General features: G+C 45.2%; 1 protein-coding gene, 1 long non-coding RNA gene and 1 other non-coding gene across 5 annotated transcripts in view; 1 reads left to right on the top strand and 2 right to left on the bottom strand.

The window, feature by feature from the left end:
* Window positions 1–15,685, top strand: part of HORMAD2-AS1 (HORMAD2 and MTMR3 antisense RNA 1) — a 71,512-nt gene extending 55,827 nt beyond the window's left edge. Inside the window, exons 4-5 of the long non-coding RNA NR_110541.2 lie at window positions 5,702–5,814; window positions 15,235–15,685. This is a non-coding gene — a long non-coding RNA (HORMAD2 and MTMR3 antisense RNA 1). The remainder of the gene's footprint in view (window positions 1–5,701; window positions 5,815–15,234) is intronic.
* MTMR3 (myotubularin related protein 3) overlaps window positions 1–21,844 on the bottom strand; it is a 147,695-nt gene that overhangs the window by 6,438 nt on the left and 119,413 nt on the right. The window contains exons 9-19 of one of the 3 annotated variants that reach the window (NM_021090.4): window positions 21,438–21,551; window positions 17,112–17,317; window positions 16,399–16,530; window positions 15,302–15,413; window positions 11,868–12,063; window positions 10,890–11,075; window positions 7,733–7,903; window positions 6,359–6,504; window positions 3,547–4,951; window positions 2,292–2,402; window positions 1,734–1,822 (exon numbers count right to left, since the gene is read on the bottom strand). In NM_021090.4, coding sequence (NP_066576.1) covers window positions 1,734–1,822; window positions 2,292–2,402; window positions 3,547–4,951; window positions 6,359–6,504; window positions 7,733–7,903; window positions 10,890–11,075; window positions 11,868–12,063; window positions 15,302–15,413; window positions 16,399–16,530; window positions 17,112–17,317; window positions 21,438–21,551 — 2,868 coding nt within the window. Of the gene's footprint in view, window positions 1–947; window positions 975–1,733; window positions 1,823–2,291; window positions 2,403–3,546; window positions 4,952–6,358; window positions 6,505–7,732; window positions 7,904–10,889; window positions 11,076–11,867; window positions 12,064–15,301; window positions 15,414–16,398; window positions 16,531–17,111; window positions 17,318–21,437; window positions 21,552–21,844 lie in introns of all 3 variants that reach the window. The other 2 variants (NM_153050.3, NM_153051.3) reach the window with 2 other exon arrangements.
* MIR6818 (microRNA 6818) lies at window positions 17,318–17,382 on the bottom strand. Its single transcript, NR_106876.1, has one exon. It is a non-coding gene; the product is annotated as a microRNA 6818 (primary transcript).

Here is a 21,844-nt window from a genome sequence, read left to right as displayed (position 1 = left end):
TGAGTCAGCAAAAACCTGTAGTTACACAGAAAAATTTCTGAACATCTACACTTCTTTAACATTCCTGCTGGAGTTCAGCTCAAAAGCCTGACATGAATTTGATGCTTTTCTTTCTTTTCTTTACTTTTTCGAGATGGGAGTTTTGCTCTTATTGCCCAGGCTGGAGTGCAATGGTGCGATCTTGGCTCACTGCAACCTCCGCCTCCCAGGTTCAAGAGATTCTCTTCTCCTGCCTCAGCCTCCCAAGGAGCTGGGATTACAGGCGTGCACCACCATGCCCAGCTAATTTTGTATTTTTAGTAAAGATGGAGTTACACAATGTTGGTCGGGCTGGTCTTGAACTCCTGACCTCAGGTGATCTGCCATCCTCGGCCTCCCAAAGTGCTAGGATTATAGGCGTAAGCCACCGCACCTGGCTGATGCTTTTCTATCTGACTTCTTTCAGAGGACCCTGAAAGACACTAAGTGGAATCTTTCCTTGAAGTCTTCCAAGCTAAAACAATTCTCTGGAAAGATCACCTCTGTTCAGTCCTGGTCTCTTAAAAAAAAAAAAAAAAGGGAAAAAAGAAGCAGTGATGCTGTTTGACCTGGAAATTACTAGCATTATTCTGGCATCTCAATGAATCACTGACCCAAAATAAATAGCTCTGAAAACCCAACTGGTTCCCCTACAAGACCAGAAGACAAGAAGCACTACTTCTCGTCACAAGCAAGACGGCCTGGCTGACCTCTGTGATCAGGAGGGGAGCACATGGCTGCAGCCTGACCCACCCTCGATGGCCTCTCCTCAGCTGCTTTGAATCCCCTCAAGCCCACCTATCTGCCTGTGCACCCAAGGCCCCAGGCTTCACCCTAGTAAGTGCAGAGAGGGGGAAATGATAAGAGTTAGTGTGGAGAAGTTATTGTAGATGTGCAGACATCACAGGCAGGTTGTTGCAAATGCTCACCACGTTTGATCAACACGGTCAGTGTCCCTGCAAGGAGGGGAGAAAGAGCTCAGAAGAGAAGCCAACCAAAGATATCTGGGCTTGGGGTGCAGGGTGGGGAGATACATGTCCTAGAAGCATCATTACTAGGCAAAGAGACTGTTCCATTTTCAATCCACCCACTCGTGTGGGTGAGCTATGGCATGATTCAGATAAACTTCCTCTTCTAAGAACACTGAACATCCACCAGACAGTCAACACCCTAGCTGGGGCAAAGGGTCCCTAGTAAACTCACTACCCTAACCCAGAAGGAAAAAGAAGTCAGGAACCTTAATGATTGGAAGACTGTCCTCAGCTGTCTCTACTACTTCCCAAGCTACAGCTGCTCACCAATGGCACAAGGGAAAACAAGTGTGGGGTCAGGGAGCAGGAAAGGAATAGGAAAATAGTTCCCTCCCCATCGCAGGAAAACTGGTTTTGCTCATAGTAGCCATGTTGAATGGGAAGAAATGTTATGCTGAGAATAAGAAATGGTGGTTTCAGTGGTGGCTGTTGTTTCACCAATCTGGGAAACAACAAAATGCTACCATTTGCACATTTCAGAATTTAACAGTGATTACTCTGAATTTGAACAAAGATGCCAAATGCAGTTTTGCAAACACCAATTTCAGAGGCACAGGAAGATGAGACCATGGCTCTGCCTCAGACAGAACACTGAGATACCCACAACCCTCTACTCTGCAGGCTCTGTGGGCCGACCCTCAACCTCCACACACAGCCCACCCTACCACAGCCCCTCAATGGTACCTGCAGTGGTGCTTCCTGCTGGCAAGCCAGAAGGCACTGTCGCACGCATAGCAGTGGGCGGCCAGGTGGTCAGGAAGCCAACGGGTCATCTGCAAAACAGATGGGACCAGGTTACTGACAGGAGATGGGCCATCCAGCTGGAGCCAGCAGAGCCATGCTGGGGGCAGCAAGAGTCACAAGGACCACATCAGCTCCAGTGGCACCAGCCCAGCAGATCTGATGTCAACAGTACAAGAAAGGCGTCCAAATCGTTTCCCTGGAGGGGACTCCAATCTCCCCTGAGATAAAGTAGCAGGCAGCAGCACCCTGGGTCACTGTGAGAGCTGGCAAGGCTCCAGTTCATAGAGGCAATGAAGAGGGAGGGCCAGCTTGCTGAGTCTCCCTGGCTCAGAAATCCTAGGCTTCATGTGGGTTCCCAGGAGCTAAGGTGCCAGAGGCTCAGGGCTAGCTGTGCTGGGAGGTGCTTCCTTGGCCAGGGGTATGGGGTGGGAATGGGGGTGGAGAAGAACCACAAAACAGTTAAATTGATGGCACTCAGAGCAGGGGCTGAGCCTGTACCTCTGTGTCCTGTTTATCCACCTGCTCCCAGCTGGCTTCAGAGAAAATCTCTGTGCTGCAGCGAGACAAACAGTTCTGATCCAGATTGCTTTCCGAGTCGGGGATTGAAGTCTGTTGGCAAACAAACACAGCTGAACAGAATGAACCTGGTCTCCTCCCAAAAGAAGAAAAGGCCTGGTGAAGAAGGGAGAACTGAGGACTCTGGGTGGGGCCGAGTGCTAGGACTGCCGAATCTGCAGATGCATCAGCCATCAAGAACTGGGGTGAAGAAGTGCAGTGTGGGCCTGGGCTCAGCTGGGAGAGGGATACACAGGTTGTGTGCAGTGACTCTGGAGTAGAAAAACAGGCCCTCAGGGTTCCAGAAAGTGAGTGAGAGGGAAGTGACCAAAATGGAATGAGAATTCTGTATGTCAGCTGCTCCAGTGGGCCTGTCAATCCAACCCTGCCTGCCACTAAGTTAAAGCTGAGTGCTTTCGGGATGCCCTCCTTTTCTTAGAAGGACTCTCTGGGAACATGAGAAACTATCATTAGCATGAAGGAAAAGCCAAGTCACTCTGAACTGAAAGTCACTGGATGTGCCCGCCTTTAATGTACGCTGACCACTTGAGAGCCAGGCTCACACTTGTACTTGAGCTGCCTGAGTCAAGTCCACCCAGAGAGGAAAGCACCTCCTTGAGAACCTCCCCCTCTGGAACCCCCATTTCCAGCCACAAACCCCCATCAGAGCTAACTCCTCAACAGTGCTAGAAACCAGTCCCTTCTCTCCATTTCTACTGGCAGCATCTGCCACAGGATGGGTATAAATATTTGTTTAAAAAGAACTGAACCTTCAAAGCCATAGCCCACGTCTGGAAGGACTAATACTTTGTAGTTACTAAGGCAGAACAGGCACTAAAATCTGACAGGAATAACTTGGCATTGCCCTACAGATGTCATTCTGCCCATGGGTTCAAGCCCTTCTGAAGACTTATGATCCTGTGTCTGAGAGATCTGATCAACCATGCAGTGCATGCTAAGTCTCTTCCTCTCCAACGGCCTCAACAGGACATCTGCAGAAAGTAAGCGAAGCAGAAAACAGGCAGGCTGCCATCGCTGTCGTGGAGGCTCATCTCCAGCCTCTCTTAACAGGGCTACTCTGGACCTTTCCAATCCTTTAACAACCTGTACCAATCACCATGCACTGGGCACAAAGGGCACCCAGCCTCAGCATGCCGTCTCCTTGGGCAGCTATGGAGGAATACCACAGCCTACTCACCACCTCATCCCCAAAGTCTCCATTAAAGTGTAGGGAGCTGGTCAGGTACTGGCTCTCCAGGCGACTCTTCAGCTCCTGGACTTGTTTCTTCAAAGTTTCTACTTCCTGCTGGTGGCCTGACTCAATCTGACGCAGGCGCTGTTGGATCGTGTCTGTGTACACTGACATGCCATCATCGTCCAGGTGGCTGCGGGAAGGCTGGTCGGGGCTGCTGGTTGCAGATGGCCTTCCTGAGTGGCTATGCAGCCACTTGTGGTGCAAGTTCCTTGAGTGTAAGTGGGCAGAGCTGCAGCTCATAGCAGACAGCTGACGGCTCAGTGAGTCCTTGCTCCTACCAGCCTCCCCATTGGCGCAATGCCCATTGGGTGTGGGGTACATCTGGAGGGTGCTAAGACCTGGGGGCTGCTCTGAGGCCCTGTTTTCAGTCTCTGGGGCACCATTGCACACAAGCCCCTCTTTACATTCGGCTAAAGGCAAGGCACAAGGGGAACGTGTCAGGCTGAGAGTGCTGCCAAGGGAAGTCCTATGCACCACAGACCCCACTTGGGGCCTCTCGACCAGGCTTGTCTCTGAAGGGCTGGGTTCCATGGTCTGAGGAAGCCTGTCCTTGCCACTATTTACAAGGCAAGATCTATGATGACCTTGGGGCCCACTTACTGACTTCACCTTATCTTCCACTAACATGTCTGTAGAACTGTCCACGTTTGGTCCTCTGGTCTCAAAAGGGACTTGGGAAGGTAGCAGAGAACATGACTGTGAGGTACCATAGCCAACTTTTGCATCTACTGGGATTGGAAGAACTGCTTCCTCCCTACCCTCTGCAATCTCTTCTATTCGAAACTGCTCCACAGGGACCTCCAGGGAATCCTCTCCCCTGGGGGGGACCTGGAGAGAACTGAGGAGAACACTGAGCCCACTCTGCTGTTCAGAAATGCCCTGTGAGAACAGAGGCCAGCTCATATCCAGATGGCTCCTCAGAGCAGCATCACCCAGTTCTGGGTCTTGGTGAAGTCCAATGGCTGAGGCCTCAGGTGTCTTCCTCCTGCTCTCCTTTTCTAAGAGAGGGTCCTCTTTACCCTCCTGTATCTCAATGCCTGCCCTGTGGGCAGGTTCCTCTACTCCACTCTCCTCTTTGGTGGCCTCCTGCAAGATGTTCTCCATCTGCCCCTCAGCTACTCCGGCTGCAACAGAAAGCTCGGCACCCCCCGGCACTCTGGTGGGCTTCCCTAGGCTGTCGGCAGAAAGGGGATCCTCTCCAGGGCCAGCCAGGCTGCTCAGCTCTAGTGAGCGCCGGTGCTCCTGCCACTTCTCGTTCAGGCTGGGGTCGCTGCAGCGCCGGCTGGCCAGAGGCACTGTGTTGTCACAGGCTGTGGTCAGATTGTCGTATGATCTAGTCTTTGGTAGCCTAAAGGAAAGGAATTTGGGGGAAATGAAAATCTTGGAAACTGTTTGGAGGAAGTAGGAGACAATAGGTTTTAACAAGCAGTTGTTTCATAACTGGGTCCATTATGGCTACTCATGGAGCTGTAGCATCTCTGGAGCGAGGCCCAGACTGCTGGAGCAGCAAAGCTCCGGAACAAGTCCTCCTAGTGTGCAGATTTCCTTTCAAACTCCCCCAACCCCATGCCCCATACATACAAATGAGCTAACAGCAAGTGCTATTTTCTTTTTTTTTTTTTTTTGAGACGGAGTCTCACTCTGTCGCCCAGGCTGGAGTGCAGTGGCGGATCTCAGCTCACTGCAACCTCCGCCTCCCAGGTTCAAGCGATCCTGCCTCAGCCTCCTGAGTAGCTGGGATTATAGGTGTGTGCCACCACGCCCGGCTAGTTTTTTTGTATTTTTAGTAGAGATGGGTGTTTCACCATTTTGTTCAGGCTGGTCTTGAACTCCTGACCTCAGGTGATCCGCCCACCTTGGCCTCCCAAAGTGCTGGGATTACAGGCGTCAGCCACCGCGCCCGGCCTGCAAATGCTATTTCCAAAAGACGTTCTTCATGATGCTGCTGTGTTTCTCAGTGGATGGCAAAGTAGCACTGGTGTTTCTTGATATTACAGTATTTTAAATTAATGTATTATCTATCAGTCTGAATTTAATAAAGCTAATTCTCAAGTGACAAAGCCAAATTTTCTTTTCTTTTTTTTTTTTCCTGAGACAGGTCTTGCCCTGTCATCCAGGCTGGAGTGCAATGGATCTTGGATCACTGCAACCTCCACCTTCCAGGCTCAAGTGATCCTCCTGCCTCAACCTCCCAAGTAGCTGGGACTACAGGTATGTGCCACCACGCTTGGTTAGTTTTTGCATTTTGGGTAGAAACAGAGTTTCAACACATTGCCCAGGCTGGTCTGGAACTCCTGGGCTCAAGCGATCCTCCCACCTTGGCCTCCCAAAGTGCTGGGATTACAGGCATGAGCCACCAAGCCTGGCCCCAAAGCAAAATTTTCTGTCATCTGACAGCATCTGCCTTTTAAGCCTCAGAAGACAAATCATGGCAAATAGGCAGGAGCACAGAGCACTGGGGAAAACACAAACCAGGGGGTCACAGAAAAACTGGAGGATTTGCTCTATCACTGAGGAGCGGCTCAGTGTATGCAAAACAACATGAAGCAACAGGGCCTAACTCACTCCCAGAAACAAGGATCTTACAGCCTCGTAGCTCAGAAATCCCTATAACTTCCCTGAAAAAACTGCAGAGACCTAAGAAAGATACTGTGGAGCCAGATACCATCATGATCTCTGACCATCCCTGCACACGTCCCAACACAGGAATACACCCACACAGGCTGTCAGGCCTGTGGCATCACCCTGGGCTCACCGGCTCAGGGGGGGATCATCAGGGCTGGTGCCTGGGGCTGGGTATGGTGCACAGCTGTCGTCCACAGGGGTGGTTGGGGATGGGCAGGGCAGGTACACTGCACTCCACAGCATCAGGTTACGCACATGGCACACAGGGTACAGCACCTGAGGAGGGGGGAGGACACAGGTTTAAATATGCCCCAATAAGTCTTCTAGGATGTCTGGAAATGAGGATCAAGAGCAAGCACCCAGCTGGAATACCCAACAGGGCTGACAGGATCTCCACAAAGAAGCAGCACCAATGGATACAGGTCTATCCCAAGAGGACCAATACAGGACTAGACATTTTATATAGCCAACATTTTTCACCTAAGAGCCACTTGAGAGCATGAAAATATAAAATATTTTTTAGATCCCTTTCTCATTATAGTTATTTCTTAGGTCACCTTCAATGTCTGACTTTCATCAGCTTGATTTGTTGCTTTTACTGCCTAAGAAAGTGAGTCATTCTGTTAGATGGTGATTGTCCATCCTGCTGGCACAAAAGCTTGGCTTCAAGAAACACTGTCAAACCCATTTTATGGGATCATTTAAATTAATCATGTGAAAAGAAGGAAATTTTCCTGCTGTATTGTTACTTCCCCAGAAGGCACACTGAAGGGGAGAGACAAGCAGTCAGCTTAAATCTTTTCTGTGATTACTTAAATGTAATGAGAACCATATTAATAGTCCAGGAAATCAGTATGAACTCTGATTAGCCTCCTTTTGACTTCTTTAGGGTCTAAGATGCATTCTGACAAAGCTAGTATTACTATGAAACTGACACATAGGTCTATGTGCCTCCTTTTCTCTGCTTAACAGAAGGTATTCATTCCTTCGGGGAACAAAGTCTTAAAGGGCCTGCCAGCTCTTCATGTGAGCAGAGAATCAGACAGACACACATACCAATGTCAAACACAGTTTACTGTTCTGAGACAGAAGCTTTGGTGGGTATCATTGCTTATTGACACTGGGAGGGTGCTGGGGGCCTGGTGGCAGCTCATTCTGAGCTATCAGTGCATCAGGAAGCAACTTAAGTGCCTCTCCCGTAAGACAGAATATGCTAGAAATAAGCTCTGGAGGCAGTGCCAAAAAAGATTCATGTCTAGGGTGGCAAAGTAGAGATCTGTGTTAAACCAAACCACCCTCAGCAAGTAGTCATCAGAAACAGATCAGAGCACCATCAGAAGCAGGCCTTCCTCAGGACAGAATCATGGGGGAAAAATGGAACCAGTCCATCCAGAGACAGTAGAGATGTCTTCACAAAAACAGTCACTACTCAAAAAGGCTCTCATATGTAACCAACCCCAAATTCCTTCTGCTGACCACAGTGGAAAGGCTGAAGGATACATACGGCTTCTGACTGAGAGGAATACAGTAGGTTTTTGAAAGCCTTGTTGCCTGCCCGAAGAAGTGACCACACGGAACATGTCCGTTCCTGAGTATGCTTTTCCCCTCTCTCCTTGGCGTTGTTGCACAGGAATGTTCCAAACAGGCAGGAATAGGTATGCTGCACCAGTTTCACCTATGGAAGTCCAATGAAGCACAAATTAAGCAATCAGGCATGCACACTCTGATAAGTCAGCTCAGCTGAGCCACCTTATCCTAACATCCCTGAGAACACTTCAATTTACTCTGTCAGGACGGGGAACCCAGTAAGCCATGCAGTAGCCTCCTCCTCCTCACACCACCAATTCCAGGACCCAACAACCTGAGTCAGACAGGTTGTTGGTGCCCCTATTCCTCTTAGCTTCCGTGATAAATAGTCTGAGATTGTGAATTAACAGCCACTCTCACAAGCGCCACAGCATATGAACTGGGTGCAGGAGCACGTCAGTGTACAACTCAAGTCTGAGCTGACAGTATGTTTGTAAAACTACTTGTTCATTCTACAAATTATTGAGCATTTCACATGGCCCAAACATGACTAAGGTGCTGGGCATGTAGCAATGACCAGCAAATTCTTCTGCCCTGATGGAGCTTGCTCTAGTCATAGCTGAAGAGTGACCAGTGCTATGGAGAACAAGGCAGACTGAGATGGACAGGACACATATGAGGCAGTGCAGGATGGCCTCACTGGCTGGGACCCAGTGGACTTGAAAGAGCAGGCATGTGGGTATCTGAGGGGAAGCACTCCAGGCAGAGGCAACCACAGGTGCAATGGCTTTGAGGTAAAGCACATGCTTGCAATTTCTGAGCTACAGCAAGGAGGCCAGTGTGACTAAAGGAGATTGCAGAAGAGGGAGAATGGTAGGAAATGAACCTAGAGAGGTAACCTCTAGGAAGGCCCTGGAGACCATTTTAAGAACTTTGGCTTTTGTGTAAAATGTAACTAGAGGTTTTTAAGCCAAGGAATGACACAGCCTGCCTTGTGTTTTAGAAGAGACTCTATGCTGGGATAACTCAATTGGGGCAGGAGATGATGGTGGCTTGAACCAGTGTGGTACCAGTAAAGGTGGCAATAAATAACCAGGTTTTAGATAGATTGCGAAAGCAGAGCTGCAGAATCTGACTGAATGTGGAAGAGGGAGGGAGGGAAGGAGGGAGGGAGGGAGGGAGGGAGGAGACTTGACGATGACAAAGAATTTTGCCCCAAACAAAAGGAGGGATGGAAATGCCATATGGTGAGAGAGAAGACTTCTGGAAGATCAAGTTTTATAGTGAGGAAACACAGGAATCAAGAATCAAGTTTTGGACAGGCATGGTGACTCATGCCTGTTAATACCAGCATTTTGGAAGGCCGGGGTGGGAGGATATTGTTTGAGCCCAGGTGTTTGAGACCTGCCTGGGCAACAAAGCAAGACCCCATCTCTTAAAAAAAAAAAAAAAATTAAAAACATCAGCCAGGCACAGTGGTACGCACCTGCAGTCCTAGCTACTCAGGGGGCTAAGGTGAGAAGATCACTTGACCCTGGGAGTTCAAGGCTGCAGTGGGCTGTGTTTGCGCCACTGTACTCCAGCCTGGGTGACAGAGTGAGATGCTGTCTCCAAAAAGAAGCATCAAGTTTTGAATTTATTAAGTCTGAATCAACATTAAGACAGCCAAGTGGAGATACCTAGTAGTAACTTAGATACGTGAGTCTGAAGTGGAGAGGTCTAAGCTGAAGGTGTATAAATGTGGGACTCATCAGCATACAGATGGCAATTAAAGCCACTAGAATGGATGAAATACTTGGAAGTGTGGATGGAGGAGCAGCCTGGAGGCTGAGCAAGGGGGCATTCCAACATTTAGAACTGGGGAGAGGAGGCTAGGTGTCGAAGCTTACGCCTGTAATTCTTTGGGCAACCAAGGCGGGAGAATCACTTGCCAGGAGGTTTGAGACCAGCCTGGGCAACATAGCGAGACTCCATGTCTATTTACAAAAAATTTTTAAAAACTAGCCAGGCATCTTGGCATGTGCCTGTGGTCCCAGCTACTGGGGAGGCTGAGGTGGGAGAATCTCTTGATCCCAGAAGTTTGAGGATGCAGTGAGTTATGATCACACTGCTGCACTCCAGCTTGGGTGACACAGCAAGATACTATCTGAAAAAAAAAAAAAAAAAAAAAAAAGAACTGGAGGGATTAAGGGGAATCAGCAAAGGAGGCAGAAACAATCCAGTAAGGTAAAAGGAGAACTAACAGCAAGGAAGTACTAGAAGTCAACTGCAAGGAAGTACTAGAAGGTCAATTGAAGAAAGCATTTCAAGGAAGGAGTGGTTAAACTGTGCCAAATGGTAATGATGGATCAAAGAGATGAAGACTGAGAACTTCTCACTGGATTGGTGGCATGAAGGTCACTGGTCATTTTAACAAGAGCAGCTTTGTTAAGCAGTGGGGTGAATGCCTGATTGAAGTGGGTTTAAGAGAGAGTGGAAAGAGAAATTTGAGATAGCAAGGGTAGAAAACTTGAGGAGCTCTGCTGTAAAGGGGAACAAGAGCAATAGGATGATAGCTAGAGGTAAATGCAGGACCAAGAATGGGTTTTAAAAAGATGAGAGACACTACACATTTTTAAGCTGAAACCCATGCTCTGGTAGAGAGGGAAACGCACTGATGCAGAAGGCAGAGAAGAGAAATGCTGGAGCCAGCCAGTGCAGCAGATGAGAGGAGATGAGAGCTGGTATACAAATGGACAGAGGGGCTGAAAGAGGGCAGGGATAGTGTACCCTCCATCAAAGGAGAGGGTGCAGAGTCTGAGACAGTCATGGGGGTCTGGTAGACAGACTGGAGGGAGTATGGTCCAGACATTCTGATTGCTTCTATTTCTAACTGCTATTTAGGGTTTCTACCATCCCTTTAAAAAAAAACTAAGTTTAAAACAACACAAGGACTTCATGCAAACCTGGTATACCTGGATTTTCTCTTTTTGAAAATAGCAAAATTATTTACTAAAAAAAAAAGCAGAAACAGGAAAAAAATCACCTCTATTAAATTCTGAAGAGGCAGCACAGTTTCATGTGAGAACTGGCCCACTAACATTTGTACTGACCCTCCTTCAAATTGAGAAAGTCCCCAAAATGAAGAAACTTACAAGGAATGCTTCATTGAACTCAAAAGAGCAAGGAAATTGCCTCTGAAGCTGATGAACACAGTCAAGCCACTGCAGAAACACTGGGCAACGTTCATTCAGATCATCCGAGTTCTCCCCATGACCACACCGGTCAGCAAATTTATGGCCAAAATCCAGCCACTCCATTTCCACGAGGACCTGGAAACCCTGCAGGGAAGCATCCAGGAGAGACCATTTGTGCTAGACTATCCAGACTGTGACAGTCCTAAGCCTGGTGTCACAGAAAGCAATCCCCTCTAACAGCCTCCCAGAAAGCCCACCCGGCCTTGCCCTTTGGTGGAAGGCTCTATCCCTGATGAGGCACACACTTAGGGAAATTTCCCAATTCCCTGAACTCCATTCCATGATCACTAAAATGGTACTGACTGCGTTTATCTAAGCCTTTCTTGAATGTGTATTTTTAGCCTCTTGTGTTCACTATATAAAAACCACACTTTTCCCCTAAATTTCTCTTAACATTTCTGCCTCTGGTGTTACAAAGTCAAGTCTGTAAAATCCTTCTATACCCCAAGTTTAATTAATACTTGCATATATTTTAGGGTACTTTATGATTTTTCTTTCATCTTTAACCCAACAGATGGTTATTTCAGGTAGAGCTGCTTCTCCACAGAACACTCTGGTAATATCTAGCATGCCAAGATCCTTTTACAGACTCCTTATTTTCCTGAGGTAGCTAAAAACTTTTACAAGTAGATAGACTGTAAAGGAAAATATGTCTATATTCTCAATACCTTGTTACCCATAATCTGCCCCATTTTAAGAGGTGCAAGAACTGTGGGAGGAACCACCACAATTTAGCTCATGGCATAAAGGAACAATGACCAAAACAGAAATTTCACTTTCTTTAACCGAATCACCACTCCCAAAACTGGTATCACTCCTGAGACGTTTCCCTGGCTCATCCTGAAGTACCAACCCCTCCCATTTGGATGGGCTCACCTCTATGGTTCGGTAATAAGGGTCCAGCAAGAGCTTAGCCAATGCCACAATCTGGGGGGTGCGGTCCCAGCCATCTGAGCAGTGTACTAGCACCGGCCGCTGATCCTGATCCACAGCATGCACTACCAGAAGCGCTGATTTCAGAAGCACAGACAAGTGATGGAGCCATTTTGTGCTTTCAAGAGCTGATAGCCAACTATAAAAACAGGAGAGGATTAGAAAATGCTGATTTTTTTATGATTTACTGCATCATGCTCAATGATTGTCAAATGAAAAAGCAATTTCCAAAGATTTCTCTCTCCAAATATAACACTGCCAAAACAAAAAAATCTGTGTGTTTATAAAGCATGTCTCAGGATGAGGCCCAAGCCCTACTATACAATAGAGAAGAGCCTTAGAAATAGGGGCTACAATTAATAGCACACCTTTTGTTCCAAAATCTGTATGGATGATTCCCCGGGCAAAATATTTGACATTTTTCAGTCCATGGTATAAGGAAAGTGGCTCTTTCTGGAATCTTCTCCTGAATAAAAAATGTAGCCACTTCTGAGATGTAAAACAGAAGATATTTATATTTAATGATCAGCAACTACGCCCAACAAGTTCTCAAAAAAAAAAGAAAAGAAAAGAAAAGAAAAACTCATGAATACAAATATATCTATGAGACATAAGCTGGATGCCATATACAAGAATGGTACACACAACCCTGCCTATGACCCAGACTGTAACACTTACCACTGTTTAATTCTTTAATGTTTACTGACTAAAACAAGATGAGCCCAATCTGATAATTTATACTGATACAAATTAGTATACCAATGGCCACACAGTATTGCTGGGCTCAACACAGACTGGATTCAGCAGCGATCTAGGAAGAACCTTTTTTTGAAAGACTTTTAGAGGCCGGGCGCAGTGGCTCATGCCTGTAATCCCAGCACTTTCGGAGGCTGAGGTGGGTGGATCACTTGAGGTCAGGAGTTCCAGACCAGCCTGGCCAACATGGTGAAACCCCATCTCTACTAAAAATTCAAAAATTAGCTGGGCATAGTGGCACACGCCTGTAATCCCAGCTACTCAGGAGGCTGAGGCAGGAGAATCACTTGAACCCGGGAGGTGGAGGTTGCAGTGAGCTGAGATCAGGCCACCGCACTCCAGCATGGATGAGAGAGAGAGACTCCATCTCACTTTCGGAGTATCAGATAGCAGTAGCTGCCCCTTGGGAGTAATCACAAGCTAATCACACTTGCTTTTTAAACTCTGTTGCATTTTGTTTCTTGTGCTTTCCCTCACCCCTCCCAATCCCTAAAAAGGAGTTGATTTTTCCCAAATGTGATCAGATTTGTAGTTAAGATCACAAGTCAAGTCTTTCAAACACTGAGTCAGAGGAAGAAATAAACATTTCTGTCAGGGGACTGTGGGAAGGCTGTAAAGGCCTACTAAACCCTGTGGAATAAGTATGAAATTTTGGCATAGTCTAAGGAGGTGGGGGTCTTTCCAGGCAAAGAGACAACAGAATGCAGTGCATAAGTACTGGTTGTATATGGATTTGTTTGGACTACCAACCAGACTGTGACTCCTCAGAGGGCTAACACTATGTCTCAGTCATAACTGTACCCCCAGCACAGTGCCTAGCATACAGTAGGGAGTCCCACTGTTTAATGAATTGTAAGTCTGTTATGGGTAAAAATCCAATCGTAAGACTTTCTATCTCCTAGCAGGTACCTGAGAAACATTTTTTCCTGATGGATCAATTGTTTATTTCATTCCTCACATATTCTTGAAAGGAACTAAAAGATAAGGCTTAGGAGAACAAATACTAAATTATCTCCTAGCACCTGAAGAAATGGTAAACAAGAGAACCGGTGTGAGGTTCTTTTGAACCTAACTAAACTATTATTTAATACCAGTTGGTGTTGTCTGTGACTAATGAAGCTGTACTCCAAAACCTGCCAGCCAAGGAGGGGCTGCTGAGAGACTCCCCATTCCCTTGTCCTGTTCTCAACCTGCACTAGAAGCCTACCATTCCCCTATCCTCCACAGCCCCAAACACAGGCCGGGGGCCTAATTACAGCTGCCCATCACTGCTACAGCTGCTTTTTACCCATGAGGGAGACTTCAGTGCAGCATTATGATTTGCTGCCAAATACATAAAAGCATTACCTTTAATAAAATCCCCAAGACATTTATGTGGACCAGGTGAGGGCTAATTCTATCTTTTTTGACTCTGATAGCTCTTTAAGAATTTTAATATATGGAGGGTATTAGATCATGTAGTGTTGATTACATGTCTTTCATTTTATAGACAGGAAAACTGAGATCTACAGTAGTTAAACCCCTTGGCCAAGGTTACACAGTTCGCGGCCGATCTCCTGGGTCCTTAGTAAGGCTCCTTCTACATACCACCCTAGGGAAGAAAGCGCTGCTAGCTGGGACCTGGAACTGTGTAGCAAATGCAAATGGCTAATCCCCAAAGGAGGCAGCAAGCTCAATTCTCCGGTCAGGCTTTCCCCAAAGGCACTGCTTCATCCTCTTGGCTGATGACAACTACGGTGAATTTAATCATTTGCTACTGGCAGTCAATATAAGTGGTTTAGGCAGCATCTGATTTAATAAATCAAATAAAGAACGCAGTAAAACTTGATGTGATCATCAGATCTACTGAATAGGACCCAGAGAAACAACTATGGGCTCCAGCACAAATACCAGAAAAAAGAAAATTCTGTCTTCTCTGGCACCTATCTCTGGCTTCCTGAAATAGTAAAACAGGATTTTTAAATACTTATCTGTCCATATTTGTTTTACAGAGCATTCTTCCTAATTTATCTTGTATTCAATCAGTACCCTTGGAGGGGGTATTAGTTCACCTTCCTCACTGCAAATGCCAGCCATTCATATTTAATAAGCAATAAGAATCAGGATAATATGCTTAGTAAATGAGAACAGTTTAGAAATTGAAAGCAGATGTAAAAGGAACTGACTTAATGGCAAGTTTAAACCCTTTAGAACATGATGAATAAATTCTGACTTTTCATGATAAAACATCCCAGTTCAAAACAGGTTATGTATCACTATGGGACATCAGAAACTGAAGAATTAAATTTCTTTGGGCTAAAAATGACGTGGAAGGGAAAGGTCCCAGGACAAACAGTAAGGTAATGCTTCTGTTTTGATGCTGAGATTTCTTCTGTGCTGCAGATTTTAAAACCTTTCAAATGGCTGTATTTTCTCCCAACTCTTCCTCTGTGCTGCCACATTTCAGACCCAGCAAGGAGATACTTGCAGAGACTGGTCTGGTAACTGAAGATTACCAAGAAACAGAAGGAAAGACTGCTCCAAATTAATTTTTTTTTCTTTTTTTCCCCCTTAGTTCAAGGAAAGAAGCAAACTTATTATTTAAGAGCAATGCAAAATGAAAGCCAAGGCCAAGGACTTACTTTCCCGGATCTGGCATCTGAGTGCACAGCAACCGCAGAGACTGAAAACTCCTCCGAATAGAATGAATGTTTGCCATCCCCATAAACACAACTTCACAGTTTGGGTAATACTCTGGAGAGAGTAACAATAAAGAGAACACAAATACGTTGAACTTAAAGCCCACATGGCCAAATTTAAAAGCAAACTGGCTATAAAACAAACCCACTGCAGCTTCTGATTAACGAAACTGAAATGTTTTGAAATGCTTAACTATTAGCCCAATCCTTTATAATAAGAGGAACACACTGAATTTTAGCTATCTTTTCAAAAAGCGTGAAAAGGGAAGGTTAGATTTGTAAAGAAGATACTGACATAAAATAAAAGCTATTATTTTTTAAAAGAAAGGCCTACTTCGATCTCACTCTGGCTTTACTTCTTGGGCCTTATCTAACTTGTGGCTTTGAAATCTCTTTGAAAAGAACTCCACAGAACAATGCGTTCACACATTCAAATTTCACCTTGGTACAGCTGCTTTCAATTTCCAGCTTAGACCACATCTGAACAAAGAGCCTGGTGCCTCTGCCTGTGCCATAGGCACTGAGGGGGGTCCCTCCTTGGGGAAAGCTAGCATTCCAACAGTAATGGTGTTACAGCTCAGGACAGAGATACCTTACTAGGGTTCTGTATTTACTGCTTCAATTTTCACCCCAGGTTTTCTAAGGAGAGGCCCTTGAGGAGTTTGCTACAAGGCCAGTGGTGAGCATACCCTCTGTCAAAGGCAACAAAAAGCTTTTAGACGGCTGAGAAATTGAGCCCACTAAAGCAGCAGCTTCCAAACATGAACAGGTCTTATTATGGGGAAGATCTGCTTTCCTTATCACCTACAAGTTGGCACAAGGAAGGAAGATTATGTGACTTCACTGCACCTCCTCCTCCATTTCTCCTCAGAAAAGAACATACAGTGTTAAGAATCCAAAGAGAAGCTCTGGCACTCTCACGACAGGATGGATGAGGAATATGGCTTGCCACTTATTTCAAATTGGGAACTAAGTCTCAGTTGGGCAAGGGCTACACTCACAAGGAGAAAGTATGGGGAACAAAGCACCATACACCTCACCTGGGCATTCGCAGCCTCCTCCTTTGGCTCGGTTTGCCACAGCAGCTGCATAGGAGCGTGCATCCAAGATCAAAAGCTTCTGCGGTTGGATGGCTAAACTCTCTGCTCCTGAAGCATTTGACAGAGAAGAATCTAGGGACACAGAGGGAGAGGGCATACTAAATGAGCCTGTCTCTCCCAGAACTGTGCAGAATTAGACCCACAAGCACATCTTATGGCACAAAAAAGGCTCAATAAAATGAAATCCCCTAACCAAAACCCTTGATACATAGGATTTTTCTCTTTTTTTCTATGTGGCCTTCTTATGAAAGATGAGAAGGATTTATTCTCCAAAACTGACTCCCAGAGTACACATGGGGTTCACACAGCCCAGTCTCTTATACTTCATTTCTGTATCTGTTGTCCTTTCATGAAGCCTGGCATTTCCTGCCATGGTCTGCAGATACTGCAAGTCCTCTATTACATAAACACTCCATTTTTGTCACAATGGCAAGAAAGACAACAAACACACTAATATCTTGATTCAGGTTTGAAACAAAGGGTCTTCTGATTCTCTGCCAAGACCCATGACTCCTCAATCAATCCCATCAAGTGAAGCTCTGCACATTCACTTCTATAAAAGTAAATCTATGTCTTGTAAGGAAGAGGCCATTTCAAGAAAAGGTTCTTAGATGCTATAAAAATCATTGCCATGGGTCCAGGGAGCACCTTACCGAACTCCACGTCAGAAAGGTCTCCCCCATTGGGAAAGTCTCGAGAAGTGTTCCTAGTTGACAGCTTGCTGCCACTCGATCGGGAGTCAGAGGCACAAGCTTTGGCTACTGACTGTACCAGATGCTCATCATCTGCATTTCGCCAGCCCCACCAGCTAACCTCTGGCTGTCCACAGCGGGCAATGACAGCTCCATTGCTCTGGTGCCTGTGTGAGGAACAAGAGACAACAACTGTACCCATTCAGATGCTCTCTGTACTCACACAAAATAGATTTTAAGTGCCTTAATGAACAGTCTAATTCTAGGTAAGTGTTGGGTCAGCTTCAAGTCCTCTCAGTATTAAAGAGGGTAGAAATCTTACACAACCAACAAGAACAAACAACAAAACCTGTGTGTCTTTCTCAATTACCATAACATCACGGAGATCCCTGTAAAGTTACCCAAAAAAATGACTAACAGGGGTCAGGCATGGAGGCTCACTCTGCAATCCCAGCACTTTGAGAGGCTGAGGCAGGAGGATCACTTGAGCCCAGGAGTTCAAGACCAGCCTGAGCAACATAGCAAGACCCCATCTTTACAAAAAAGTTTTTACAAATTAGCCAGGCATGGTAGCACATGCCTGTAGTCGCAGCTACTCAGGAGGCTGAGGTGGAAGGATCCCTTGAACCCAGAAGGCTGAAGTTGCAGAAAGCTATGATTGTGCCACTGCACTCCAGCACTCCAGCTTGGGTGACAGAGCAAGACCCCATTTCCAAAAAACAAAAAAGAATTAATGTGTACTCTTAGTGAAAATAAATCAATATTCGTAACTTAAATCTATAGGTACTACACTAATTCTGCTACCCAATAGTGAAATCTGCTACCTTCTTAATGCTGAACCAAGAGCCCGCCTCTGGGAATAAAACATTTACCTGGCCCACAGTGAACTGCTTTACAAAATCTCCTGAGATTTCATGAGTCACAGACTGCTCTTATAATAGGCAGATAGCTCAATGAGCCAGCTACCCTTCCTAGGGCTCTTAAGAAAGAGAAGAAGAGCATCAACCTCAGAAAACCATACTCTGACATATCCTTTTCCAATAAGACAGACCAGAAATCACAGTCTACTTTAAGGTGCTATTAAAACCCAGACTTTTCCTAGTTAGGCAATTTTAACTGATAAAAAGTTAGAAAAATTCTATTACTTGGCAGTAAAGAGGAATAAAGTTCTGATACAGGCTAGGACACTGATGAACCTCAAATATGTTATGACAAGTGAAAGAAGTCAGTCACAAAAGGCAACTTATTGTACGACAATTAACATGAAGTATCCAGAATAGGCGAATCTATAAAGATGGAAGTAGATTTCTGCATGTAGTGACTATTATAAACTCGTAGTTACTTAAGGGAGCTTGCCTAATTCTAAGTTGGGGTTACTTAAAACGAGTATGTTTCTATATAAAACTGAAGCACTCTATGTTTTACTAGCAGGGGCTTCATCCATTGGACATCTTAATTATTCAGGGCTAGGGTGGCTGGGTGCCCTGTGAATGGGTTTTTTGGGACGATGAAAATGTACTGTAATTTGTTTTTACTCCTAAAACTCACAAATAAGTTAAATTTGGCACTAATCAAATTCCACTGAAATCACCAGTTTGCTTGTAGTTTTTAAAGCCTCCCTCCCTGGGAGACAAGTAGCTGTAAGTACTTGTGTATTGCCAACATGCTCAACTGGCTCACGTGCTGAATGGGGCCAAAATAGAAATAAAACCTCAATGATTCTTTATAAAATGTCTCCTAGCAAATAACAGGCAACCACTGAGCTGAATGACTCCAAACCCTGCACAAGAGGCTGGTTGGGCCTTTCCTGAACATCCTCCTCTTCTTCAATGCTTCCCAGCAGTGCCCAAGAGGAGCAGTAGATGGCGCTCTTCAGCCTGGATCTTGGGTTTTAGGGGACACTGCATTATAGTAGCTATTAGATTTCAACTGGACTATTGCAATAAACAATTATGTTTTCTGCAGTCTTCTAAAATGCTTCAGACTACATGAAAGATAATTCAAACACTACAGTTAAAAATCACTAAAGGAATGCATTTCTATCACTAACAGAACCAGGCAAAGTATAAAAATTATGATGTCCAACAGATAAAGCCCTCCCTACTAAAACACAGAATGCTTCAATTTTATATAGGAACAGAATTGTCTTAAGTAACCTCAACTTAGATTTAGGCAAGCTCCCTTAAGTAACTAGGAGTTTAGAATAATCACCACATGCACAAAGGAAAAAGCTGTGAACTGCACTACAGATGGGTGCCCTTTACATCATCTTGCTATGTTAGAGCAATCTCTACCTTCAGTTATAAATCCAATTAAGTGCTCTCTCATCACAGTAGGACAAAGCCCTAATCAAGCGCTGGTTCAGCATGGTGCTGTCAAGTAACTGCTGCTGGCAACCTCAGGAATCATGACCCAATCTACAGACAACTAAATTCAGGAAATGGATGTCAAGAGTTCCAGGCATCCTGCCACCTAGGCTGGCAAAGCAGAGCATGGTGGAGGATCCGATTCTTCCACACGCCCCTTACAAAGCTCCCAAATACTACAGCAACCCAGTCTGCATCTCAGCGATACAAGACACATGTTCTGAGACAGAGCCCAGTTCCAGGAAACCTGCCTGATTTTGCATGGATGACTACACCAAGAACTTTGTGATCTTTTGAAAGACTTTCTCTGAAAAACTGCAAATAAAATTTTTCATTTATATATCCTCTTGTATCTCTAGAAAAAGGGGGGGAAAACCTAGGGTGCATGCCCTCTAGAATTAATTTTAGAAGGTGCATGCCCTCTAGAATAAAATTTAGAAAAAAAGGAAGTTTTTCTTCAACCAGCCCTCTTAAGCTTCTCTTCCCAAAGGGAGAATTCACCTAAAGCCTCTTATTTTGCAAATAAGAGTACCTTCCCCCTTTTGGTCAAAGTCAGCAAGCCCCACAGATGCCAGGGCTGCTGACCTAACACAGTTGTTGGCCAGAGCAGCAACTGGCTGCTTTCCCCATTCCAGCTGAGCTGATCATTGATAAGACTCATAAATCCCTTCAGCTTTCACTACTCTCTAGTTCCTGTAGCATCCTTACCACTTGAATGACAGGTAAATTTGGTGACTGACTTTTCTAGGGGTGTCTGAAAACAACAGTGATGAGAATTGAGATTAAAAACGTAATGAGTTCCACTGGGCCAGAGCAAATACTTTTCCATCTCTCTCCATTCAGAGTGGGCATCAGAGTTTGCCTTTAGTAGACTAAATGAACAAGCTGGTTACCTCTGTAGGAATTCCACAAGGAGACAAATCCCTTCCTACAATCTCAATATTTCAGTGGAATGAAGTTTCTAACTGTAAGCCACTGGATTGGCCCAACTCAGGGAGAGTCCAAAAAGCCGGCAAACTGGGAAAATGAAATGGAGAATGTAAACATTACAAAGAGATGACATCCAAAACATTTCCAGAATAAGAAGGAAGGACTTCTTTAAAATTTAATAGGATTCTGTGAGAACTAAGATATTCAATGAATTACAAAAGCAGCACTCAAGAGATTTAACCTATTCCAAATGCTGGTACAGAAGCTCAGTGTTTATAGCCCCTCATTTAGAATCAGAACATATCTACAAAATAAGAACTACCATTCCCATTGTATTCATTAGGAACAGACTGAGGTCAGTTAGGGAACTTATTCAAGGTGCCTTAGCAAGAAGTCTAAGAATATACCTGAATTCAGATCTGTGATTCCAAAATCTGTGCTCCATCACCATGCCACCATCCCCATCTAGAACTTGCATCCCATGGCTCTCATGCCTCTGATCACTGAAATCTTCTATCTAGTCATGCCTCAGTCTTCTTCTCTAAATGCTTCCTCTCGAAACAGAGTTCTTCCACATGTCAAAGTTTCAACCACAAAGACAATCAGAGCCAACTCGACCCTATATTCCCAAAGATCACTTTCTAAGACTCATCTCTCAATCCAAAAGCCCTGCTAACAGCTGAAGCTAAATGCTTAGTAAGCACATTATCTTCTCACAGAATGTAAGAAGGATATTGAAATAGCAAGTCCAGCCACTTTACAACTAAAACTTTCTTATCTGTTTCAAATGAACAACCAGCTAGTGTTCTGAATGCAGTCAGTACTGATGTGTTACTGGAGGAGAAGCTTTAACAATAAGGAAGTACAGCCTTGCCTAGAAAGTTCTCTGAACTCTCCCCACCCTTCCCAGGTTAGCAGCAGCAGAGGCAGCAGACCATATGCAGCAGGCAGCAGCACCAGCCCAAGCTGGGACTGGTCCAGTTTAACTTACCTGTAGATGACGGCAGGGATGCGCTTCCAGGACCTGAAACTTGATACACTTTCCAGTTCTTTGTCAGTGATCCAGGCAGGCACTATGAGCTCTTGAGGATAGCTACCACATAATCTAAAGAGAAGATGAGAAGTGGGGAGAGTCAAGGGGATAAGAGAGGGAGAGAGAAAACGGGAGAGAGAGAGAGACACTAGGTGAGCCAGCATAAGGATGATGATCTCACTGCCACAGAACCAGTTAAAGGCAATGAGGCGCTTTATTCGAGTTTTGGACTCCTCAACAGAATGGGTTACCATAAGTGTGTTTTGTTTTGTTTTGTTGCCTTAAATGTTTACTTATGTGTATACAACAAATGATACTATCTTGAATTGTTCCACTTGATGCTACCTTTTGGGAATCTGGCAATC

Source organism: Homo sapiens, chromosome 22 (genome assembly GCF_000001405.40).
Source record: "Homo sapiens chromosome 22, GRCh38.p14 Primary Assembly".
Lineage (NCBI taxonomy): Eukaryota > Metazoa > Chordata > Mammalia > Primates > Hominidae > Homo > Homo sapiens.
The sequence above is the reverse complement of the archived record's forward strand: the minus strand, read 5'-3'. Positions and strand labels throughout refer to the sequence as shown.